This window comes from Homo sapiens, chromosome 5 (assembly GCF_000001405.40).
Source record: "Homo sapiens chromosome 5, GRCh38.p14 Primary Assembly".
Taxonomy (NCBI): domain Eukaryota; kingdom Metazoa; phylum Chordata; class Mammalia; order Primates; family Hominidae; genus Homo; species Homo sapiens.
Genome location: NC_000005.10, coordinates 161,818,998 through 161,846,868, shown reverse-complemented (window position 1 = coordinate 161,846,868; position 27,871 = coordinate 161,818,998). Strand labels below are relative to the sequence as shown.

General features: G+C 34.2%; 1 long non-coding RNA gene across 1 annotated transcript in view; it reads left to right on the top strand.

Moving 5' to 3' along the window:
* LOC105377696 (uncharacterized) overlaps window positions 1–27,871 on the top strand; it is a 41,745-nt gene that overhangs the window by 3,725 nt on the left and 10,149 nt on the right. Inside the window, exon 2 of the long non-coding RNA XR_941158.4 lies at window positions 27,358–27,411. This is a non-coding gene — a long non-coding RNA (uncharacterized LOC105377696). The remainder of the gene's footprint in view (window positions 1–27,357; window positions 27,412–27,871) is intronic.

Sequence of the window (27,871 nt, the reverse complement as noted above, 5' to 3'; positions counted from 1 at the left end):
TGAGTTCCTAGCAGAGAAGACGTTTCAGATGGGGCGGAGCCTGAGCAAGTGAAGAAAAAAATCTGAGTAGCCAGTCCATAACCACTTTGGGGTTTCTGATTCTACAAGTGCTTCTTGACCTTGTGCAGCAATGCAATCAGCTTAATGATTAAAACTTAAATAAGGTGATTGCAATAATAAGGAATATAAAACTGAAGACCACATTAGGGGTTGGGCTTGGTTACCTTCTGAGTTTTGTGGTCAAGTGTCAACTGGGAAGTGATTTTAGAGATAAACTTTTGGAAGAGAGATTTGAAGATTATGTTAAGATAGCCCTGTTTCTGGGCAGTAGTTAATTGCCTGTTATGTTCAGATATAATAAATGCCAATGTATTCTTAAAGATATTCGCTGAAGAAACATCACAGCTTCCCTATGTGTCATTACCCAATTTTTATTTACTTATCCATTGATTAATTAATTTATTGAGTGGTTTGGAGAATAAAACTGAATTTAATGAGATTTATAATTAATAATGAAATCCTGAGTTAACGATTAGAAAACATTATTCTTTTACTTCATCTACAATGCAATTCCACAGTTTTGTCTTGTTTTAATGAAAGTCAACAGTTATAAAAATCTGAATTTTTAGTGTTCTCCTGGCTAAACTGTTGCAGGTCCTTTTATGATCTTCTACAAATTGAAAATAAATTTATATCCTTTATCTAATGAAACACAACTAAATCACTCTACTGATTTTGGTTTTGCAAACAAATTCACTGAAGCTTCATCATGTGAACAATAGTCTCAGAGCAATGCCAATTACATTCTGCTTCAGATTAAAAAATGTTATGTGACTATGAAACAGGATACAATTGCACAGCGTTTTCAAACATTTAAAGAAATAAATATTAAATAATTTGGGGGCTATAGTGTGTATATGGAAATGGAAATACCTATACTATGATTCTCTCTTTAAAATGTAATACTCACAAGGTAGATTTTACTAGATGATTCTCTATGAATATCAGCTTGTAATATGTATATGCATGTATGTATACATACACACATACATGTAATTTGCTTTAAGACATCTATATTTTTCATAAATTGTGAGTGTTTAAAAATAATGATATTTTAATACTCCAAAACATCAATTGATACTCTAATTATGGGTGTGTTTATTGTGTTCCATCTGATATGTCATTAATATATGCACATACTACCATAAAATATAATAAATTAATGACAAGAAAATACTTTATATTGTGTTTTTATATTCAATATTTTATATAATTTTTGATATTCTTGTGTTTTGTTTTAGCCAGAATGAACCACTTCAAACTATGTGTGCATATAATGATGTCAGTTTTTTTAAATGATAATAACTATGGTGTTTAATATTCTTAGAGTGTTTACTTGGTGCCAAGTAATGTGAAAAGTAATTTTCATAATAATTCAATTTGATTCTCAAAATGAGTCTCTATGAGAGATGGTCTTAATATTTCTGTTATACAAATCATTCAGTAAATTGTAGACTAGAGAGATCAAAAGACTTGCCTAAGGTCACACAGCTAGTGAATATCCACACTAAAATGCAAATCCAAATGCTCTGACTTCAAAGCCTATTCTCTTAACCACACTCCTACATTACTCTCTTTCCTTACTGTGAGACTGTGAGCTCATAGTAAAATCTTTTTCATTCATTTTATATCCATGCTTGACCACCTTTATGTCAGTCACATAAAGCTCATCTCTGAGTATTTATTATTATTTATTCATGGCAAGAGTTTTATTTTGATGATCCAGTACATCCAACTGCAACATAGAATCAGGCTTACTTTAGCGTTTCAGAGATTTAAGCTACTTTTCTTTTGTCTCATGAGGCCGGTGGCCAAGGCCCTCTGAGCAGTTACAAAGTCTTGGCAGAAAGAATTTGAGGTCAAATCTAGAACCAGGGATCCTAGGGATGCCTAATCACTCTATCTCCAGTGCTGCAGTCTGGTACCTTTCGCTTTTACTGTCAATTTTAAATGGCAGGAAGCCCTTACCTAATTGATGAAGTGGTGCTGATTCTATTCAACAGAGAAACGTTTTTACTTTCTTTAACTAAACGTGAACCAAATGAGAAAAAAATAGCAAGAGTGTTCTCATTTATTCAGTGTGTCTTTTTATAGTTTACAAAATAATGTAGGGTGAAGGAAAAGAAATAAGTAAAAATAATAAAATATCAAATAAACTTTCGTTGAAACTCAGAAAAAATTGATCCTTTAAAGTGTATTTGAATGGCTCAGATATCTACAATGAAATTGTGTTTTAGCATTATGCATTATATATATGAATATTTATATGGAATATTTCATTACACTCATTTAAGTAGTCCCACTTTTCTAATCCCTCTGTATATAATACAGACCACCATGTTTAATTGACTATACTAGCATATCCAGAGGGATGTCTCTTCTTTTATAAGTGATATTGAAATAATAGCTCAGTAGGAGTAAAAGAAAATAAAAGTGGTTTAAGTAATAGGTTACATTTTTGTACCTTAATCTAGACATCTTTGTCATCTGGGTTATTTAGGCAAATTATATTTCCCAGGCTGGAAGTCTCGTTTGGTATTTCAGCATACAGAGAAACATGGTAAATATAGCAAAAACAAAATTTATGTATATTTGAGTCATAAGTGTTTGGCACTCTAGTGGAATTTAGAGATTGTTTGCCCCAACCACTTTGACAGGTCACAAAGCTTACGTAAGTTTTCACATGATCTTTACAGAAGTAGAACCCAGGTTAGCATGGCACAATAAATGATTATGCACGAATATATACTTGAAGTCACAGATGTTTCAAAACTGTAAGGCCGTGGGCAGATTGCTGAACTTTTCTGAAGTTTTCAAATGAAGTAATGATATTTTATAAGCTGGTGGTGGCATTACATAGGAAAACAAGTGTGAATCAGATAGCCCTCTTGTGTGACACCTAATAGACATCTAATGAATGCCAATTTTCCTCTCTCTTTTTTCTTGCCATAAAATTATTCTTTTCTCTGCATTTTAGTGCATTATCTACAGCGTGTTTAAATAACTAATAATACTGATAGTACTGTCAACATTTTGCATACTGTCGAAATAAAATTTTCACTTAGACAGGTAGTGGGAAAAGCTAGCTCCTGTGCCATCTTAATCCTAGGCCCATGTTTTTATTTTTAAGATGTTGAGTCGGGGAAATTTTCCTACATGGGCCTTGGGCATAGAGTATTTTACATACACGTTAAACCAGTAACATTTGAAGAGAATATAATACAGGATATAGCCAACCACAGCAAATGTTCGAACCACAGCTAGTACAGTCAACCACAGGCTTCCCAAAAGATACATTTACATTATTTTTCCATAAGATGCAACAAATACTCATCAGGAATAAAAATATGTATGTGAGAATCAGAGTCTATTTAACAGTAATGTAAATAGGGCACTATCCAATTTTCCTCTTTTGGCAGTTTTCAGTTTATCAGCAACTCAAATGTAACCCAGATTCACCCATTTTCTTTCAAAGACTTTTCTTTTCACAGATGTCTAACCCATCAACCCAAGAAGGTAAATGCAGATTTATTCAGAGTTAGGAAAAATGATAATAAGCTGATGATTAGAAACAATTATTTATTTTAAAAGTTCAAATAATATATAAATTATTTTTGAAATCCTTGAAGAAGAATTTTTTGACTCTCCAAATAAAATTGGTAACACGATGACTAATGTAAGTCAGAAGGGAGGTAAGAAAATAAATATAATTTATTAAAATGCTGTCACAACTCTCTAGATTAAATACTTTAAAATGCTGTATCCTATATAACTTGATTGAGGAAACATGCAATTAAAAAAAATTTATAGCTAAAATCAGGCATTCAGGATGTTTATGTGTCTCCTTTGGTAAAATTAAAGTGCATAAATATATGCACACACATAGTCTATGTGTAAACTCCTTTTAAACCATAAGAATGTATGTTTACTTATGTTTTTCATTGTTAAAGTTAACAGAATGAATACATATCCAATCAGTAACAACGACTAAGTGTCTATCTTGCAGAAAGAAACATAGATCTAAGTGAGAGAGTCAACTTACAGAGATTATATATCAAAAATAATGAAAACCATTAGGCATATTTGTAGCAAGAAACTGCATTCAGCTTATTCATAACCTGCTGGCATGTTAGGATATGTCTAGTTTAAATATTTGAAGAGTTTAACGTGGTATCATTATCCTGCTGGACAGCTGCATTTACATATTTGTTTACAAAAAAATGACATCAACATTAAAGCAGCATTTAAAAAATCATTCATCATGCCCTGAATGGCCATAGGATTTGTGGAAAGGATATGAAATGGAAGGATTTACTAGAATAAAGATCAAGAATTAGGACACTAATAAACCATCTGTTCAATAGCTCCCAATTCTTGATGTTTATAATAATTGTGTTGTGTGGAATGAAATGAAAACAAATTTATGGATATAGATGCACTTTTATTACGGCTGTACATAAATATCTCCAGACATAACTAGTGCCCTTGTGTTAAATGTAGAAAATGGATGTAATTATATTTTTACTATAATTTACAACTACACAAAAGCATCTCTCTTAACCAAACTCATTTCCAATTTTGCTTAGAATAACATTCACCAAGATTTCTCTGCAGAGAAAATTTCATAGCCTCTCCCTTCTCTCTCTCTATGTCTACATATAGAGAGATATAGATATGTAAATATAGATATAGATATCTATTTGTCTATAGCTATATAAACACTCTACTAGTTATCAATATCCATATCTCTATATCAATATTGATATCTATACTTCTAAATTGATACTGATATCTTTACCTGTCTCCTATCTCTCTCTCTCTTTTTTGACCTAAATAAACTTTGACAGAGAGAGAGAGACAGAGAGACAGAGAGACAGAGAGAGAGAGAGAGTGTCCGCTTGGGTAGGGAGAGATCGAGAGTTTTAAAAATGAGTAATATTCAAGTTTGAGTAATTATATATCAATGATAAGCTCATACAAATCTCAGAAATGTGGACTGACCCCTATGAAAACTTGGGATTTGGCCCAGAAAGCATGCTCTGGATGAATAAATAGATGTTCAAAACCAGCCTGGCCAACATGGTGAAAACCCGTCTCTACTAAAAATACAAAAATTAGCTAGGTGTGGTGGCACATGCTGGTAATCCCAGGTACTCAGGAGTCTGAAGAAGGAGAATCACTTGAACCTGGGAGCTGGAGGTTGCAGTGAGCCGAGATTGCGTCACTTCACTCCAGCCTGTGTGACAGAGCAAGAAATATTGTCTCAAAAAAAAAAAAAAAAAAAAAAAAGAAAAGAAAAAATAGATAAATAAATAAATAAGAATTGAGTGGGTTTTTCTGCTTGTGATTAACCACATTCAATATTGGAATTTCAACATAAAGTTGGCCACCTTTAAATTTTATTTAAGGGAAAAGAAAAAATAACTCCCAAATAACAGTCCCTTCCTCATAAAAAAAAGTTATTATTTAGTAGCTATAATATACCTGACACTCTACTAGTTTTGTTGTTGTTGTCGTTGCTTATATCTCACATAATATTCGTAATTGCATTCTTATAAAGGTGCTGTTTACAGATAGGGAACCTGAGTTCAGTAAGATTAGTAGACTTTCCTAAAGACACATGGCTTATAAGTCAGAATCTGGATTTGAATGTAGAAATAGATTTTGTGGCTTCCAAAAGTTCCTGATTATAAGGCAGTGAAGGTAAATCCCTCCACATAGCCTGGGAGTATAACTGTAATGAGAGACTGTTGATACTGTTTCTGATCACAAATATCTGCAGCAATGAAATGTAGTTATTATGAATTATTAAAAATTAAATATTCAGGCCAGGTACGGTGGCTCACACCTGTAATCCCAGCACTTTGGCTGGCTTAGGTGGGTGGATCACTTGAGGTCAGGAGTTCAAGACCAGCCTGGCCAACATGGCGAAAATCCACCTCTACTAAAAATATAAAAATTAGCCAAGCATGGTGGTACATGCCTGTAATCTCAGCTACTCAGAAGGCCGAGCCAGGAGAATTACTTGAACCTGGGAGGCGGAGGTTGTAGTGAGCCAAGATCCCGCCATTGCACTCCATCCTGGGCCACAAAAGGGAAACTTCATCTCAAAAAAAAAGAAAAAATATATATATTTTTTTAGGAAAGCTGCCTAATGTAGTATTAAAAAAAGAAATTTGGAAGCAAAACTGTCCTTTTTTTCTAGGTAGATTATTTACGGATGTTAAGTTGGGCCACTTCTTTGAACTTTAGTATCTTTATTTGTAATAGAGATTTAATACTTTCATTTTACATGGAATATTTGTGAAATAATACTGGTAAAGTAGTTAGCAAATTAAAATATTCTCAACAATTGATATGTATGGTTATTGTTAACACAAGCATTACAGTGTAACAGTCTATGATAACAAGTAAGTTTTTCTAGTATAATTCTTAGCTTTTTGAATAATAAAATTAAGATTTTTGCCTATGGCAACCAATTCATTTGAGGCTTTGCAGTTGAACCACCACACTCAAACTCAGCCAAAATTTATCAAATACCAGACTAACCATTTGGGTTTTTTTCATCATATGGTTGAGGCCTGAAGCAAGGAAGAATTGGCATTTGCAAGGAAAGTGAATTCATTATTTTAGAGAAACTCAACTCAGCAGGCGGTAGGACCAAAGACAAAATGCTTAAGGCCCAAGCTATTGTTAAACTCAACCTTAGCATCACAACAGTAAGAAAAATATTCTTTCTCCATCCAACTTCTGCTAAAGTATTTTTACTAACAAGACAATAAGGTTTAGAGAAAGGAAGAAAGGAAGAAAGAGAGAAAGAAAGTCAGAAAGAAAGGAAAGACAGAAAGAAAGGAAAGACAAAAGAAAGGAAGAAAGAAAGAAAGAAAGAAAGAAAGAAAGAAAGAAAGAAAGAGAAAGAAAGAAATGAAGGAAGGGAGGAAGGGAAGGAAAGAAGGAAGGAAGGAAGGAAAGAAAGAAAGAAAGAAAGAAAGAAAGAAAGAAAGAAAGAAAGAAAGAAAGAAAGAAAGAGAAAGAAAGAAAGAAAGAAAGAAAGGAAAAAAGGAAGGAAGGGAGGAAGGAAGGGAGGAAGGGAAGGAAAGAAGTAAGGAAGGAAGGAAAGAAAGAAAGGAAGGAAGGAAGGAAAGAGAGAGAAAGAAAGAGAGTGAGAAGGAAAGAAACAAGGAAAGAAAGAAAGCAGGCAGGCACGAAGGAAGGAAAGAAGGAAGGAACGAAGGAAGGAAAGAAAGAAAGAAAGAAGAAAGAAAGAAGGGAGGGAGGGAGGGAGGAAGGGAAGGTTTTAAAATTCAAATCAAATAAAATGGAATGCAAAACAAATTGAATGAAAAACAATGAATAAGAAATTAAAGGAAACTAACCTATGCTTGCCATGTTTTACATGTTTATTAACAACTGGAGTAGGTATTGCTGAAGCAAAAAACCATTTACAAAACATCAGAAAGGAATACCGAAAAAGAAGCCATGTAGTTTGGATTCAGCAAATTCTGAAATGAAAACCAACTTTTACTAGACAAAGAAAGAATCAGGGATTGCTATCATAGAGGCTCATTTTTATACCATATTTTTGTTTTATTTATTTTTTAGAATATTCTAGCAAGCAAATTCACTCTATTATGAATCAAGTGAATCATATCAATGTTCTTAAATTCAAATTAAACACAAAAATCAACTATGATTGTATTGAAAACAAAACAAAACATTTTGTTTTGTTTTATAATTTCTATATAAACCAATTTGGGTTAAAAGTTTGTACTTTTTCTAAACTATCAAAGTGAAATAAAGTCAAAACTTGGAAACAGTGACTGAGAATTAGGAACTGGAATGATGTTCTGTTCTTATCCTTCATTATTAGCTCTGTGAACTACGCTAAAATATTATAGTTACTCTTTGTATGACCTTGGGAGACTAGATACCTCTAGGAAACCTAGCTATTTCACAGATTGAACAGTCCTAAGTCAGTCTGACAGCCATATGTTTAAATTATGATTTCATTGCCTGGAGAAAATTTTGTCAGGCTCCCAAACAAGTCAGCGAATTCAGTAGAATTGCCCTGTGGCTTTGGAGGAACATGGTTGGGGAAGGTTAGTCAAGGTTCAGAAAGCTTTTGTCAAAGTCTTAAAGAGGGCTCAAATACAAGCCCTGTTTTCAGATAGAAGGGAATCTGCTTCCCATATATATGCTCATGGAAGGCCCCATTAATTCCAAAAACAAACAAACAAACATTACAAGATGGGGCTATTTCTTATGTTTCCTAAAATCAATGTGTAATTTACTCTGAAAAGTATATAAAAACAAAAGAAAATTAAAAAAAAACAAAAAACAAAAGATGAACTAATATCTCCCTTGATAAGAGCTTGTGAAGTACCAGGAAAATGTAGAGGGAAAAAGAAGAACATTTTAGTACAAGATTTTTATAAACTTTGCAGTAACTCCTCTACAACAGCAATGCATGAGTACAGGTAGAGAATGTGGTTGTAAAATTTGAAATTGTAGTCACAAATTCTGTTCTCATTCTTTCCTTTTGAAAGATAATTTTCACTCTAAGGTTGCTCTTCTATTAAAGTATATTAATGCAGACATAAAAAATAAATATAGTTCTCAAAGTTCAGCATGTCAGATGTCAAGGAAAACTAAAATTTTACATAACAGTTTAATAAACATGACTCCTAGAAAATATAAGTAGTTATTTCTTTATCACATTTTTATTTGAAGAAGCTTCAGTAACTGTCGTTTGTACTCATCATTGTTTTTATCTGGTTTCCAAATCTAAATCCAAATTTGAGATTTCCTCATTTAGCGGCACACTATATTAAAAGGACATGCCTGTTCAGGCAAACTTTCTCCTGCCCATTTGAGGAATTCATACCTACACATGTGTACACTAACTTGCAGTTTCCAAAACTTATTGTATACATAATCTTTAAAAATACACTGAATAAACCAATCAGTTTATTTTTAGAACTAGTTAAATCAATCCAGAAGTTCTCTGAAGGAGTTAATGTGAGCAAAACCATCAAATCAAGGCTTAGAGATTTTACCAGATATAAAAATATACATGAAGCTATAGTAAATAAAACTCAATAATTCTGGCACAGAAAGACTTGCACAGCTATAATCACAATGAAGAATCCAGGAAAGGACCCATGGATAATCAAGAAATTGTATATGGAAAGGAAGCTTTCCAAAGCAGTGTAATTTATTATTTAATACATGGAAAAGGATTACAGACATTATAATAAAATAAAACAAAAACACAAGTAAACAAAAACATTAAAATTAAATTCACACCCCCAAATAGAAATAAAAATGATTTACTGGTGAAAGAAGGAACCTACAAATATCCTATGCATTAATGAATTCAATTAAAAAAAATCAGACAATGCACATAAAAATGAGAACACAGGACAAAACCATAGGTCAACAAGGAAATTTCACCAGTGGCCAATAAACATGAGAGAAGATATTCAGCAGCAATTGTGATCATAGAAACACAAACTAAAACAGTCACAGTTATCAGACTAATGAAAACTTTTTAAAAAAGTGATGCTATTCAGTATTTATTTGAGTTGTTGGTTGTAAAAATGGCAATCTGTTAGTGGCTATCAAATTATCAGTATACTGTATACAAATTTTAAATCAGTATCCTAGTTCTAGAAATCCATTCTACAGATATTTGAATGCAAGTGTGGCAGGGTATAAGCATATGGAAGTTTAATGTAGGATTAATGCAAATGCTTTTAAAATCAGAGCCATATTAAATGTCTGAGAATAGGAAAATAGTTTAATAAATTTTGGTATGTTCCCATCATGAAATTAAATGAGCATTTAAAAAATGAGGTATATATTTATCCATTGATGCAAAAAGACATTTTCACGGTTAGCTGATTCAATGAGCGAAGATCTAAATAGTATTATTCGTATTTTACAAAATATATATAATATACAAGATAAAGTATAGGTCTAAAATGAATATGCAATGATATGCATTTCATATACGTAAAACTATTAACATGAATTATCTCTTTTTATTTTATCCGTTACATTAGGTATGATTTTTTGTGAGTATATATATATATATATATATATCTTTTGTAAAAATTTTTCAGGAAATAATAACAAAAGAAAAAGAAAATAATGACATTTAGATTCCTAGATATAGAAGACATAAATCAATGCCACCCAGAGTTCGCTTAAAATCCCAAAGTCTGAACTCTAGGTTTACAAAGACAGGTTTGTTATAATTATCACCGAAGAAGAGTTGGGTTCTCAAAATTGTTGCGATTTCATTCACTTCTAGAAGTTGAGAAGTAAGTGGAAGCATAGTGCTAGAAGCTCATACTCACTTTCTTTGTCTTCCTAATTATATAGCCATCCAAGAGTAACACTTCTCTTCGGTAATAAGATAGTTCAGAATCTTAAACATTTTTCCAAATAACATGCTTAGAGGTCTACTGTAAATTCAACAACAAATGATTGGAAATTGAAACTGTCAGTCAACTAAAGAGATATGTTTGAGTAAGAAAAACTGTCTAATGCACATTATAAATACCAAATCACTTTTGCAATGTTACCTACATGTATACTTACATCTTCCTCCTCCTCCTCCTTCCTCCTCCTCCCCTTCTTCTTCTTCTTCTTCTTCTTCTTCTTCTTCTTCTTCTTCTTCTTCTTCTTCTTCTTCTTCTTCTTCCTTCTTCTTTGTCTTCATCTCTGTCTTTGTCTTCATCTTCTGCTGCTTCTGCTCCTGTTGTTGTTGTTGTTTCAGGGAGAAATCGTTTTGTGTTTCTACATACCCTAGGGAACATATGTTTGAGCATGTTAGTAGCATATTTATGGAAACCAGAGTACTCTGTTTACTTTGCTGTCTCTACACTTTGGAACTCTTCACTAGTTTTGTAATTCTCATAGCCTCATTGTTAAATGAACCCCTCTTATCCCCTGTGTTGAAGGATGTTTACATTTGGCTCTATACTTTTGCACAACAGTTATGTAAGTAATCAGCTCCAAAATTCCATCAAGGATGCTCTTTCTCTCATGTGCAAATATTTTGTCCCACATAGCCTCAGCAAGGAGAGTAACTTTTAAACTGGAGAATAAATTTAAATGTCTCAAGTTCCTTTGTTTTCACCCCTACATAATGTACCACATCCATTCAGTGTTTCTGGAGACATAAATGGTTAACTTCATGGTCAAGAAAAAAGTATCTCTTCTTTATATCATTCTAAAAGAAATACAACACTTTTTCCATATATGAATATACATTTTGGACATCCATTGATATATTCTATGAGTTGAGAGCATAGGTTTCTGTCTAATGAACAAAAAATCAGGTTAAGTCATCAATAATATTTTTTCAAGATTTTGTTGAAATGCTTCTAAGTTTAGAACTTTGATCATTACATTTTACTATTGAGTCCCGGTGGATAAAGTTAGCATATCTTGTTTCTCACTCCCCTTAAATATATTTGCCTTTCAGAAGAGTAGGTAGTGAAGATTAACTTGATTGTCCTGTAGTATGGTACAGTAAAGTGGGCAATTTTTCTACATCTCTTGAGATCAAATGAGGGTAGAGGGTGGAGATAGGTGCTAAATTTCCAGGCTTGGGTGGGCAGAAAGATGGCAGAGAGATTTTCATTCAACACAAACACAATGAAAGAAACATCTGGGTGGAGTTATAACAGGCCAGTTTCAGGCAAACGTGGCTCAACTAAGTACTGAGCTGAGACAAGTTACTTAACCATCTAATATCTGATTTTTCACCTGAAGATCAGATATAATAGCCATCTCAAATGTTTTCTTATGAGGTCTAAATTATATAACTTAGCTAAAGTACTTAGCACAGTTTCTGGCACATGATAAATATTCAATAAAACTTTTTAGACCTTAACTGATAATGTATATTCTTATTAAATTATAACTAAAAACCTCTCTGAGACTCAGTTTCTAAATTTATAGATTGAAGTTAATACTTTGTATTTATCTTAAGGTTAGAAACCAGTAATTCAAGGAAAGCATCACTGTAGGTACCGTTACTGGAGATGCAGTTAGAATGCACGATTACTCCTAGGCTACATGAATCTCTGTGTATGTAAAAATAATATGCTAATGTTGCAGTTTGTGAATTATGTGTAACTCTCTTTCTCTATTTCTTCTTTCAATACTAATGATTAGGTCTATTATTGCAGAAATTAAGCAAGAACATTTTTCCCTATGTATCAGTTTATACCTTCTTTATGGATAAAGTAAAAAGTTTTTACTGAACAATTTCAAATACTTGATAGCTCAAGTACTGGTGCTTAGATATCTAGTGAAATACAACTTCCCTTCTTGAGTCCTGACTCTAACTATAAATTGTGACTGCATTCCAAACTAAGAGAAGCACATTTCTAGCTCCAGAGTATTGAAGCCATGCTGATTAGGAACATTTTGATTATTACAAACACCAATAGTAATTATTCACATGAGAGGATTTTTGTGACTGCAATCATGCTTTAATTTCTCCTGCTGGGTTTCATATTTGTAAATGCTTCAAAGATTAACCAGTCTTCCATTCTCATTGGGAAGTATTACTTGATTATCTCCTGTCTGCTTTACTTAGGATATCAGCCTGAAAAACACTGGCAGCACTTAAACTACTTATGAGACTGTAATCACTAGGATGGGGTGGGGCTGGGAATACGTTTTTGGAGACAGAGAATCTGGGTTTTCTTATTTAGTAATACAAGACTCTTAGTTCCATGAAGACCAGGAGTATTCAGAGAAAACAAATGGTTTTTAAAAGTCATACATAAGATTTAATCTTGAAGTGCAAAATAGATTTCTGGACTGAAGTGTAAGAATTAGAGGGACTTATTGGGAGACAATTCACTGTGTGTATCTTGCATTTCTGCACATTCTCTGAACACAGATTTTGATTGCCTTTATTCCAGATTATCTTTTCAAGTATTTCTCTGTAATAAACAGCCTTGGAAGATAGAGGTAGTGTCTCTCTCCTGAAGAAACAGCAGATTTGCTCATAGCCATGGAAGATAGAGATAGTGTTCCTCTCTGCAAGGGGCAGGTACACTTACTTCTCATAGTGAAAGAGGTGGGTTTCCTAAATTGAGGATCTATCTACTGTAATTCACCCAATTTCATCTGTAGATGTCACTTGGCCCTCTTCACGTTGCCCTGTGGGAATTGGGGTAAAGGGCACTGATGCAAACACGATGTCATGCTGTTTGCTGTCCCATGAATAATAAAGCACTTTGTCTCCTACCCAGAAGTCTTGCATCTTCTTCCAGCAGTTATGAAACTGCAGGAAGAGAAAGTGTTAGCTTGCAAGTAGGGTAAGGCATTAGACATTGCATAGCTCTTGATACAATGCAGTCAGATAAAGTGATAAGAAGATAAAATAACTCAATAAGGGAAAACTAAAAAATAGCCTGAGATTTCCTTTCTTCCTGTTTAATAAAGACACACTTAGCGTTAACTCATTTATTCATATAGTAAGCACCCTCTATGTGACAGATATTATTCTACTTACCAGGAATACAGTTCTGACTATGACTGTCAATTTCCTTCTTCTCTTGGTACTGAGCAGAAACAGGAACAAATATGTGAATGTGTGTGTGTGTGTGTTTGTATAAATTCCAGATGGTTATATATACTATGAAGCTAAATAAGAAGGACAGTGAAATAAACTAACACTTCTTTAATTATAATAGTCAGGAAAAGTCTTTATGAAGTGATAACATTTGGTATAAGGTCTTCAATGTAGAATTTTTGGGAAAGGACATGTCAGATGACAAGGAAAAGGAGAGGGAGTGAAAAGGAGTGAGAGGGAGGGGAAAAGAAGAAAGAGGGGAAGAGGAAAGGAAAGAGAGCAAAAGACAAAACAGCAATAGAAGAGACCCTAGGATTTAATACATTTGATTTTCTTTTCCAGAAAGAGAAAGAAAAGCAGTATGGCTGGGACATAATGGATGAGAAAAAATGGATATTTAATGAATTTAGCCCTTTGTGCTGGCACAAAATCATACTGGAAATTATAGACCACAGTAAGGTAATCAAATAGGGTAGCTGCTTTCTCTTTAACTTTATGAATTCTTTCACTTTCCTCATTATTTTTAAAAGTCTTAAAGTTTATTGATGCCATGAGTATTCTGAAAGTAAGGAATACATTTGCACTGGAAAATGCAGGTGTATGGATTTCTAGAACAGAATGAGAAAAAAATACCTTTACTTAGAAACTTCTGAAATAGAACTAAGTATTATTACAACTAATTACACTGTTTCTATTACTACTAAAACATAGATACTTCTGATGCTACTAAAATAAAATATAAATATAAGGAAAAAGAGAAGGAGGAGGCAGAAGACAAGAAGAAAAACAAACAAACAAAAAACCCAACAAATTATTGAGAGACTCATCTTCCAAGAACTAAGCTCACTGCTTTACATATTTTTTCTAAACTTCAAAAGTGCTCAATAAAATGCTGCAGTGCTCCTTTCAGAGACAGAAATGAATGCTCACAGAAGTGAAGTCCTTTGTTTGGGATTTCCCAGCTAGCCAATGCCTGGGCCAGGAGTTGAACCTTGGAACTACCCAGCTCCTGAGCCAGGATATTTGTGCAATATGCAGCCCATATTGTAATGAAGCATCTTTATGCCGCAGATGTTCCTTCACTTATGAAGCAGACGGCTTTGTCATCAGTTGATAGAGAGTTGCAGTATTTCAAAGATTGTTAGGTTCAGTCATGGGACAAAATGATTGGTGGTTTTTATCTGCATTGTTTGAAAAGTGTCGCTCTACACATTGGCTGAAATACAGCACATAACATTTCTTTTTTCTTTTTATCTTTTAATGGTGTCATCAGACAACAGATGTATCATGTCTACACAATACGATGAGTAGAAGTGCCTAAATCAATCATGTAGCATGAGGATATAGCTGATCCATGCTGCATTCCAGGTGCTTCTAGACTTTGGTCTTTTGGAAGGAAAAGGATGAGTTTCTGGAAAATATCTCTAAAGAAAAAAGGATTATTATTATTATCCCAAAGGAAATGTTTCATAAATGCACATAATCAAGGGGAACACATAAAATTATCTGAAAAAGTAGGCTTTGATCTAATAGAATATCAAATATACAGTGATCTGAAATTTACTTCTTGGGTAATTGGAAACCAATTTGTTGTTGGTTTGTCAACCAACATGTTGACATGTTGTTACACTGGGAAAATATATCTAAAAGAGATTGACTAAACCAGTGTTTTCATAACTGTGTTATAAAGAATGCATGTTTCTAGAGATAGTAGCATTTTATGAAAATAAGTTCTCATAGTTTGAAAAACCTCTGGCAAAATTTATTTATTTATTATAAGAATTGATATTCTTTCTTAGTAACAGAACCCCATTTAGTTAGTTGGGGAAGGATTATAATCTTATACTATGTGCCTGTATTTCTCAGCCTTTACTTCACTGGGGAAGCCAGTGAAATGTAGGTCTAATTTTGGAGTGTACTATGAGAAAAGTCCTGTAAAGGGTTCTAAATGAACTTGGAGGAGCATCCATTTTGCCACTTCCCTGTTTTATTTTTCTGCTTGGAAATTGTGTGTAATGATGGAACTCCAACAGCCCAGTTTTGTGACATTGGGTTGTTTTCAGGATAAAATCCACAAATTAGCATAACAAAACTTATAAATGAAACTTCATTTTACTTTGTGATACTACTATATGAGCCCTGATGTACTGACATCTTCATTAGATGTTTGGTAGGAAAGTAAAATGGTAATGGTTTAAGCCATTGTAGCCAGGTCTCTGCTATTTAACAGAAAATGGACATAATTCCTGATACATTTGCATATTCCACATTTTTCTTAAAGGTTTTGCAGGTACATTTGATGATTAAAAATCCTGAAAAGTGTTGTCATAAATAATATCTACATAAATAAAATAACTACTAAGAAGTTGCCATCGGTGGCTCACGCCTGTAATCCCAGCACTTTGGGAGGCCGAGGCGGGTGGATCATGAGGTCAGGAGATCGAGACCATCCTGGCTAACAAGGTGAAACCCCGTCTCTACTAAAAATACAAAAAATTAGCCGGGCGCGGTGGCGGGCGCCTGTAGTCCCAGCTACTCGGGAGGCTGAGGCAGGAGAATGGCGTGAACCCGGGAAGCGGAGCTTGCAGTGAGCCGAGATTGCGCCACTGCAGTCCGCAGTCCGACCTGGGCGACAGAGCGAGACTCCGTCTCAAAAAAAAAAAAAAAAAAAAAAAAGAAGTTGCCATGTGCTAGAGATTGCCCTAGATACTGAGGATGTGGGAAGATGAAGAGTGATTGATTCTATGTCATGGAAGGCTTTTCAGAAGATGCTAAATTAAGTTTTGAGGGGTGAATAGAAGTTTCTTAGAGGGAAAAATGGAAATATAATACAGATTGAAAGTGTAATAAAGGAAAAGAGATATAAATATCATGTTTCCCAAGAACTTCAGCATGCTTGATACAGCTGGAAAACAGGAGTGAATTTGTCTCAAGGGTGGATATGTTGTCCTGGAACAGAGTTACATATGTAGAGAGGTAAACAAAGGCCAAATTGTGAAAGGCTTTTTGTAGCAATCTAAGGAATACAGGCACTGTACACTAGGCAACATGGAATTATTAAGCAGTTGTAGGCAAAGATAAACAGGATTGTATTTGTGTTCTTGAATGACCTCCTGGCATCAATATGGAGGATGGATAAGGGAGCTTATTTGTGGGATTCAATAAACAAATATAAGAAAGCCCAAACTACTACAGCAGTCACTTCTCTGACTTATTAATAAAAAGCCACTGGTGTTTATTCATGCAACAATGCCCATTCCATGAACATAACCAACATCAAAGGAAATTAAGAACATTCACTGTTAAACCAAAAGAAAGCTCATATTTGAGGAAATAATTTCCATGAATTAAAAATTTAAAAATATCCTCCCGTTTTCCAATTTTATTTAAGAACAACCCTTTTATAAGTGCACAAAGTTGCAGACACCTCTTTGATTTAATCAGATCTTCCCACTAACAGCAGCTTCCACATTGAAGACAGTTTTTGTTTCTCTGCCACTTTGCAGACCTTTTAGTACCTCAGGATAAGAGCATAGTCTATTCTTGTTTTTTTTTTGTTTGTTCGTTTGGTTTTTTTTTTGTTTTTTTTTTTTTGTTTTTTTTTTGTTTTTTTTGAGATGAAGTCTCACTCTGTCACCCAGGCTGGAGTGCAGTGGTGCGATCTTGGCTCATTGCAACATCTGTCTCCCAGGTTCAAGTGATTCTCCTGCTTCAGCCTCCTGAGTAGCTGGGACTACAGGCTCACGCCACCACACCTGGCTCATTTTTGTATTTTTAGTAGAGACAGGGTTTCACCATGTTGGCCAGGATGGCCTCGATCTCATGACCTCAAGATCCACCCACCTCAGCCTCCCAAAGTGCTGGGATTACAGGAGTGAGCCACCGCACCCAGCCAAGAGCATAGTCTATTCTACGTAGTCAAGGAAGTTTGCGTTTTCCCAGGGCTCCCCTTTCCTAGCGTTTAGAAGCTGGTTAGAGACAGCACACAGTGACATTTATCACTATGCCCACTTGGGCATTGTGACTGAAGCCAAGATCACTTTCAACAAAGTAGTACCATTTACACTAAAGTGCCAGTGGTTTTGCATCAGTGAAAATCTGTATAGCCCTGATTTCAAAGGAAGTAATCACTTTTTCGGAAACAGTAACAGCCTTAGGATCCTTTAGCATGTCTAATTTTTTTTAATAGTCCGTATCCCTCTTCATTAGCTCCTGGCCCAACTTCCTACCACACTAAATTCTGAGGAGGTTGTGAGCTTTTGAACAATCCCCCATCTTCACTGTGGAACGTTTACTTTGTGATCTTTTAGGAAGGGCTGTAAAATACTTCTGAGTGTGGTTCCAAGCTGAGGAATTAGATTTTATCAGGGTCTTCTTGTTGGGATGGTTGTAGGTAAACTGTCTTTCTCATTGTAATAGTGGTTGTTGCTATCATTTATATCCTAGCCACAATTCTCATCACCTCTATTCTGCCAAGTAAATTTCTGAGAGAAATCAGTCAGCGTAGAAGGAATTAGTATTCAGGTGCACCCATGTGGTTTTGACCACCATCTATATATTTTTTTAAAGACTATTGTCTCTGAAATTATTTCTCTAGGAATATTGTTTTCTTTTAAGCCCATAAAATGCATCATTTCATGCTAAATAGTATATCCAGGAACCACCACTCACAAGAATTTTTGGCAGAAAGTATCATCGTTTTCATCTGACCATGGCGGACACTGAGTAAACAGACTGGAGGGAAAAATAGAGTGACGGTTTTGCTTACCTAGTGAGCTTAATAAATACGTATGTTAATTAGAAAATAACAAATGGATATTTTAGAAATATATTACTCTAAAATAGGTTGCTTATAGAAAATATATTTTTTCTTATTTTTATTTGTACTTCAACTTGTTTCCAAAGGGAATTTGTAGTGGCTAGTGGTGCATATTACTACTATCATTATTCTATTAAAAGTTTTGCTTGTCTCTTAGAGAGCAAATTCAATAGAAAAGAACACTACTGAATATAAATCTAATTTTACTCCAATTAAATTCAACTTGTTATTTTCAAAAGAGCAATAGGATCAGTAAGAAGAAAAGCAGAAATAGATAGCTTGTTTTTTAGGAAGGTGGGTCAGGAAGCTCAGTCTTTGTTTTGCACATATGGAGATAAAAACACTGGAATAAAAATCATGGAACTGAATCATTAAAACATTACAAAACAAAACTTTTTGAGAATTAGAGGCATTCTCTCATATCTAGGAAACATACTGACTACTGGTTTATAAAAGTAATGCAAATCATAAAAGTCCCACAGATTCTGAAATAAGTCTGTATGGAATGATGATTCTTAGAGAGCATTTAATGTAATGCCTGTGCTTCACAGGTGAGGAAACAAAAACACCAGAGAAGTTAAGTAACTTTTTCAGTGTCACACAGTAATAGAGGCTAAGTAGGGCTTTCTGAACCCTACTTCAAAATTTACTAGTTGATGTACTCTAAGGCAACTTATTCTAGGAGAAAGATCTGTTTTAGGATTCCATTTTTCTCCCTTCTGCAAAGTCAATAGGTGACTATGTGAACTAGGACACATTTACTTTCTGATTTTTTTTTTCGTAGAAAGCAAAATTATGATTTTTAAAAAATTTGTTTAGTTATTGTTTATTATTTCAATAGGTTTTTGGGGAACAAGTGGTGTTTAGTTACATGAATAAGTTCTTTAGTGGTGATTTCTGAGATTTTTGTGCACTCATCACTCAAGCAGTATACACGATACCCAATGTGTAGGCTTTTATCTCTGGCCATGATTTTGAAAAGAGTTCTAACAAAAAAACAGCAAAAGAAACATTTGAACCAGTGTCCAAGATCAAAGACTAAAAAGTCCTCTGTTAGTAACTAAATGTAACATAATGCAAACCAGAATTTTAAAACCAGATAGAAAAATTTAGGTAGTTACTTCTCTTAAGGAAGAGAGACATGAGAACACATTCTTCTTTTCAAGTAGTAAAAAAGGCCTTTATCGTATTCTGCTAAGGCTTTTCTGGTTAAAAGATTAACGAATCTTCTTTAGGTTTCTAGAAATACTTAGTAACCCAGTTTCATAAGATCCCATTATATCACAGTAGGGTATGTGTTTCAGAACTCTTGGATATAAAAGTTTAGCTTAGCAAAAAAGAAGAGCCAAACTACTGGAGGGAAAGTATTGACTTTTAAGAAAAAGAAGTTTCATCTTTAGTGATTAAATTAATCAAATGGATATTTTTCACTTTCCTTCCATAAAACACATTTTTAGAGACCATTCAAACATAAGTTGCTCTCAGAATCATACTAATTGGCTCTCTGGTAATTCAAGAGATGACTTGTTGATGAAGAAGATACTGATACGCTCACAAGCGAATATAAGAAGGAGCAGTCCTACTCATATTTTTAAAGATATAAATAAGAAGAAGCACTTTAGAACAGAAGCTTGAGAAAGGTTCCTTAAAGAGATAGTAATGCTAATATATATTGTCACTTGTCTTCAGGGTAAAAACGAGGGAAACATCTAGAATTGAATCCCTGTAAATGGCGTAAGAATCTTAAACTATCAGACCCTAGGATGAAGCTGCATGACCCACCTAGCTCCCTAGTTATGGTTTGCCCCAAATATAAGGTTTCTGTAATTGCTCATATTCTATTAATCTGTGTGGAAAAGAAAGGCCATTTTCTACTGCTGTGCTGCAAAAGAAATTTTTTAAATTTATAGAGCATAGAAGCAGCAACATTTCTGGAATCCATGAGCCTGAAAGTCTCAGCTGGTTGCCTCGTCTGTCTACTTTTTTTTTTTTTTTTTTTGCCATAGTACCTCAGTTTATTTGGATATTGGCCCTTAAATGGCTCAGAACGGAAAATGGAGGCTGACAATCATGATCAGTCTCATACCCTTTGGTACCTGGGGATTAGGAATGAATGTATGGCCCAATACTGAAGAGAGACATGCAGGAAAATCTATCTATGTGGCTTTACCCACAGGAAACATGTAATAGTAGGAACACCCTTCTTTTTCACTTACAGTGGGCATATGCCAATATGGTACCAAGAAACTGATGAACACATCTTGCAAACGTAAGTAACAGCTGCCAATATCCTAAGGAGAAAAGAGGACAAAAGTACTGAGCATCTGGGTCCATGATAATATTGCTGATTTGCTATATGAACTCTAAAATCAAGCTGAAGCTTGTGTCTAATTTTCTGTAGGTATCTTGAATATCTTTAAATCTCTGTGCAGGCAAAGGCACTTACTGCTTTTGATTCTGATCATTTTTTTCAAGGATGTTTGTATAGCAAAAGAGTTTGAAAGATACAGATAGTGTCTCATTCTGGAACCAACGGCGGCTTTGCTTACTGTTTTCAGTGTGGTAAAGATAATGTTTACCTAAAAACAAAACAACAACAACAAAAAAAACAAAAAACAAAACAAAACAAAAAAACTTTAGGCAAGATTACCGTCCATTGAAGAAGACTTGTTTTCTAAGTTTCGAGTTTCTCTCCTGTAATGCAGCCAACTTCATGTAAGGGCATTGTCTGAACCAGTGTGCAGTTAAAATCAACACAAAAGCTGATCTAGCAGAGTAAAATCTTAGCGTCTTCACCGTTACTGGCACTGGGTTTCCTGTTGTATGAGGTAATAAATTTCCTCAGACCCTCTTTGAATGGCATGTTCTATTATTTATGGATAAAAATATTTTATCTGAATATCATCACAATACTATTTATGTTTTGAAGAAAAGAGAAGATAATCTCTAGATACATGTTTCATGTTAGAGTTAGCAGCATTATGTAGTGAAATTGTAAGAGTTGGACACTTCTGAGACTTTAGGAAACTATTTGATACATTTGTCTCAATGTTCTCTTGTTGAATGGGGGCAGTAAATCTGCCCTAAGTAAGGACTATACCTTGCATATAATATATATGGTCACTTGGTATTCTATTTTTTAAAAAATCATAAAATTTTATATGAATGCTCTCAAAAAAGCAACTTACAAGTGCTTATATAACTAATATTTATATCACAACATTTTAACTCTAACACCAGGTGTTACAATTGACAGATTTCTTGAATACTACAATAAACACTTTTTAAATTTAATTAGTATTCTGAGGCTCGACCTGCAAAGAGATAAAGTCTTAAGCACAGCTGCAGAATTATTTCTTTAGATGACTCAAATAATGTGACCCAAAAATAAAAAAGAAAGAGCTAGAATTTTTCCTTCTTCTTTTTTTCTTTATTTTTTTAGTTGGTATTCTAAGAAGGCACAGATGGGCTATGTTTAATGAATCTTTTGCGAAGTAATCATCAATGAACAAAAAACTTTTAAAACATGTTTACCAGTTTTTGTTAATCTTTACCATGTGGAGGAGAACACATGGAAAGTAGAATGTGAGGTGGTGACAGAGAGGAAAATTGGAGAGCTACATGAGGTGTGGGCTGGCAGGATTGATGGTGACCAGGGATGCAGGGCATTTAGGGAGGATTAGAGATCCACACAGATAACCTGACCAGAAGCTTGGTGACCAACAGTGGGAGTGCTGGGAGGAGATCGGCAAAGACAGAAAGGAGGCCTTCACAGCTACAGTTTGGTTACACTGAGCAAGTAAGTAACTGCATTTAGAATAAAATGGAACCTTTCAAAGCAAAAGAAGTTATTAATAGACAAAGAAAATATAATAATGAAAACAAGCATGAGGTATTGGATTGAAATTGGAGGTTTCACTATGGGCTTATGATTTTATAATGTACATATTCAACAAATATTTATAGTTGTATATGCATTCGTATACATTTATATACAAGCTCTGTCCATTGAAAGGGCCTAGAAGCAATGACACCCCTGTAACAATTGAGCATGGCAAGGGCCATAATCTTAGCTTCTAAATGCTGTCCTCACTAAAAGGAGCCAGAGCTTCTTGGAGAAATGACTGATTCCAGGACAAGGGCGGGAAAAGCATGATTGCAACATTCTGTTGCACCTGACATTATGGCAATGTTCAATGAATGTTGGGGACATGTCAAAACTATATAGAAGCTAGTTTGAATGGGATGATTTTGGCATTAAAATAGCCAATGGCAAAAATGTATTGCAACCCTAACGAATAAAATAGAAGCTCATGATTTTATACTGTCATCATAAATGAGTTAATTATTAGAATCATTATATATTATATTTAGTCTATTATATATAAAAATAAAGAAATGTAGGGATACAATTTTTATTTACAATGGAATGCCAATGAATTTTAAAGGAATAATAGGAGTAAGAGAATTGCTACTTGGCAGCCATCAGAGATAATGGTTGGTTAAAGCAGGTACTGTCAGTGGATATGAAAGCCATTTAGTGGTGGTTCACTGAGGAATAAATTTATGGCATGATTGTGAAATACTGCCCTACAATATACTAATAATTCAAATGGAAAAATGGTGATTGTAAGGTGTAAGAACTTAGTAGACCCTGTGTCTCCAAGTGGTTAAAGTTAAAATCACCAGGGGAAGGACTGGTCTATATCATGTGTCTCCTAAGGTGATGCACCAAGAAACGTGCCACCTCATTTCCATGGAACTCACTCCTGCCAAAAATGCATGACCTTAGTCAGGACACGAAGAAGCATTAGATGGATCCGCGTCAAGGGTCATCCTCCAGAATGTAGGGCGTGTCCCCTTTAAACTTGTCAATGACATGTAAGATAGAAAGACACTGAGGAACTGATTCAGGATGAAAGAATCTGTTGCAACAATTAATTAATGTAACTTGCTTTTCTGGATAGACCCAAAGCCAACAAGATAAAGTTCTCATTATTAAAGCAATTGACAAAATTTGAATGGGAATTTAGGTTCAAATGGTAATACTGTACCAATTTTTATTTTCTGAACTGGAGAGTTATAGTATAGTTATTCAAGAAAGTGTTATTTGTGGAACATACATACCGTACTGTTTGGGGTGAGGGAACAATGTGTCTACACCTTATTCATGAAAAGTTCCCCAAAAATGAAATATATGGCTATATATTTCCAGAGGAAAAAAACAGATTGGAAAATGCAACAAATGTGGTAACCATTGAAAATAATACTATTATTTTCATTTAACTTTAAGTTGCATACTCAATGCATCATTCATTAGTCCAACAAATGCCAAGATTCTCCCTGGCTTGCTCCACTGATTCAGATGCAGTGTTTACAGAAGAGAACAAGTAAAACAAGGACACTTCCCACAAATATCTGCTCTCTAGTGGAATTCACATAACTATGCTGAAGTCTGTGATCCTTTTCCTGAAGTAATTAATTCATTAGAACACTATTTTCATGTATGTTATTTGCAGACATTCCAGTGGTCTTGTGAAAGAAAGCAAAGGATTCTGAGAAAGAAATGATAATGTTCAACAAAAAAATAAATATATTCACTGTGGCTTCTTCTTTATTGCATGTATATTCTATTTCCTCACTTCTGTTGTCCTGAGTCCAGGAAGTATTGCATATTATCAAAATTATGAATAGAGACTTTAAAAAACCTATTCCTGTACCTTCACAAGTGTGATCTCGTTTGCCAGAACTGACAGCAGTCTTATAGTTACTGCTTTCTCAAATAACAAATAGTGCATTGTTTTGTTCCATCTCACAGTTTCTTAAATTTCAAAGTTCGGTAGCATATTGAATAAACGAATAAAGACCAAAACCCTTATAAATTGTGGTGGTGGCACCCAATTGAAACATCATTTTTGAAGTGCTTAAATCAAAACAATAAAGAGGGTGGTATCCACAATACATTAACACATTCTTTACAAGTTTTACTTTTTAAAATAATAAAGCTTTTTAGTTGACTTCATTTTATTTTTTACATTATAATATATATGCCAGATATGTAGATTTCCAAAACCACAAACACAAATATTAGAACTTCGAAGAATATTTTCAGTTCTACTGAGGATTTATTTTCTTTTGTTTTGTGAAGTTGCAATACTTTTTGGTAATTAGGAATTGACAAAGGGCTAATAATAGTTATCTTGGTTCTACTGTTTATGCATAATCTGCTTTATTTCTGCATGCATGTTCGTTATTTGGAATATCTATATATATGAAAGGTATAATTTAACCTGGAATATATTTGTTGAATGGCTAAACAATCTTGAGTCCAATGATACTACACCCATTAAACATAAAACAAATGAAATGCAGTCCCTCAACAGAAAACTAATACTAGTAATAAATAAATAATAATTCAATAAATAATAAATTGATATATCCATGCACAAAAGTATAGAACATTTTTTTAAGTATATCTGCCTCCCATTAAGGAAGTACCAGGGATGTCTTTCTGAGGAAGATGACAATAACTGAGGTTTTAAGATTGAAAAGAAGCTTGTCAGACCAAAAATTTTAAAAATGAAAATTCTCAAAAGATACTAAACATGGGAAAAATAATAGAATGTGATAAATATATTCACTACTGCCTCAGTACAGTGTGTGTGTGTGTGTGTGCATGTGTATGTGTGTGTGCACACGAGAGAGAGAGAAAGAGAGAAAGAGGGATGAGTAGGGATTGCTGATAAAGTTGAGAATGGAGAAGACTATGGGGATCGGATCATGAGGAACTTCAAGTGTTTGAATTTCATCCTAGAAAATAACAGAAAATGGAGAGCTGGTGGGGAATTTTGGATGGAAGAATGACATGGTCATAAAAAAGAAAATGAAAGAAAACGACTGTTAGCAACTGCATAGTACAGAGAATAAAATGCTTTTGGATAATAGGAAATTTATAGGTTGTTGTTATGCACTGACTATTTTGCATACAAAATTATATTTGGTTTATAGTTGCTATCAATAGGGTAGGATCCCATTTTGTGTGAGATCATTTTTGCTACTTCAGAGGGCAGGCAGCTGAACAGTGATGGAGGGAGTCAATACCTTCTACTGTTCATAGGTTTGGGATGCTATCATCTGGATGGAAACTTCACTGTCACTATGTTTCTGGACCTGTGCAAAATAATCTCTTCTCCCATTTGACACATTCCTCAAAGGCAGCATATAGGGTGTGAAGGTGTATGTGTGTGCATGCATTTATTTTACTTATATTTTGTCCATTCCTAGTCCATTCTCTGCATAGCAGCCAAAGTGACTTTGCAAAAACTCAAATCAGATTATGTTGTTCTACTTACAATCTCCAGTAAATCTCTATTGCATGTAGAATAAAATTTGAATTTATTTGCAAGACCTGCAGGGCTATGTACAATCTATACATTGCCTACTTCTCCAATCTCATTTCAAACCCCCCTTTGTCACTCACTAATTTCCAAGCATGTTGGTCTTTTGTCAGTTTCTAGAAAAACCTGTGCTCTCCACTGACATATGGGCCTTTGAACTTACTGATTCTTCTATAACAAAATATCCTTCCCATTAGCAGTGTAGCTCTTTTATATACTTCACACAATAGACTTACTGTCACTAAATTCAGAAAAACATCCCATATGGTTTAACCTAATACCACATTGTGTTGCTCTCCATGACAACAGTGATACTAACTGTTGAAGCAAGGTGGAAACAGTTGGCACAATGGGATGCCCACAGGGTTTGGACTCAAATCTGTAGCGCAAATTCCAGTTGTACAACACACAAGCTGTGAATGCTTGGATAAATTTCTTAAATCTCTTAGCCTCATTCATTCTATTTTACATTCTCAGATGAATTCATTCATTCAAGCACTATCCTAGACACTGGGGATTAAACGGTGAACGAGACAGACAATTCCCCTGCATGTAAGACACTTCTATTAATGTTGAGGGATGCAGATTATCAATGTACACTACAGTTTCAAGGAGTGATGAGTGATATGACTAGGATGAAACTTCTTTTCCATAGTTTGATCAAGAGAGATCTTTCTTAGAAAATGGGACATTAACAAAGTGAAAAATAATATTTTCCACTTTATGCTATGGTTCAAGCTGAAATTAGTGACAGAGAGAACATCAAAAAGTATCAGCCTAGGAATAATATTGCCATGATCAAAGATTAACATTTGTAGCCACTATACCTATTTTACATGGTTGCTGTTCTGGGAAGTAAGTGAGGTGTAGGGCGTGGTGCAGCATAGTGCAAGAAGCCTTATCAGTACTCGATAAATGTTTCCTTCCCTACTGTTCCCATCTTCTATCCTACTGTGGGACATTAATGAGAACTGGGAAATACATAAAATCACAATGATGGTGACCAGTATTTTTACTTTTTGCCATCTCATATTCTCTCACATTCTGTCTCTGTGCATATAAATGCGGCAAATTATATGTCTCACCGAAATATAACATGCTAGGAAAAAGTTATTTCTTTACAAATTCTTGATCACATATCTCAATAGCATTATTGTAGGTATTTATAACAATTAGAATTTCCCAGTAATTAATGTAAAGCAAAACAGTACAAAGGGGATTTAATTTAGTTCAATCTTAGTGAGAGCCTCTGATTCATCATTTGATTTGATAGCAGGATTACCTTTGTTTAAATCACCTCATCTTTTGAGTCTTGGTTTCCTCACTTGTAAGACAGAAAAAGAATTTAAATTATAAAATTAACATAGTATGCTTACAATCTCCCAGTTATTGTGTTAAGCATGTTGCATGCGCTAATATATCTATTTCTCACAGCTGCCCTCTGGTACATTGGCACTATTATTGTTCTCATTGTACAGATGTGGACCCTGATGTGCAGAAACTTAAGTCAATTGCCCAAGGTCGCATTGCTGGTAAGTGTCAGAACCAATATTTGAAACCATTTTACATAATATATGAGTAAAAATTAAATGTTTGTTGTAAGCTGTTGCTATTTTGGAGTTGTTTGTTACCAAGACATATCTTCGTTTATTTTTTATTGGAGCTTTTAATATAATTATGCATCGTGACCTTAAAGAGGAAGCTACAATACAAACATTTCCCCAGTGTATTTTATTTAACATATTTAACGTAACAATTGCTATGTATAGGCAGTATTTTATAAACTTTACAAGTAATAACTTTAATTCTTCTGTCATTACTATCAGGTAAGTACTATTAATGTTTCCACATGACAGCTAAGGAAATGGAGGCACAGTGGATAAGCAACTTGTCCATGGTCACGTAGTTATTATGTGGCAGAACAAGGATTTTAAACTAGGGAACTTGAGTATGTACTCTTGACCCCCATGTTATAATGCCTTACTTGTACTC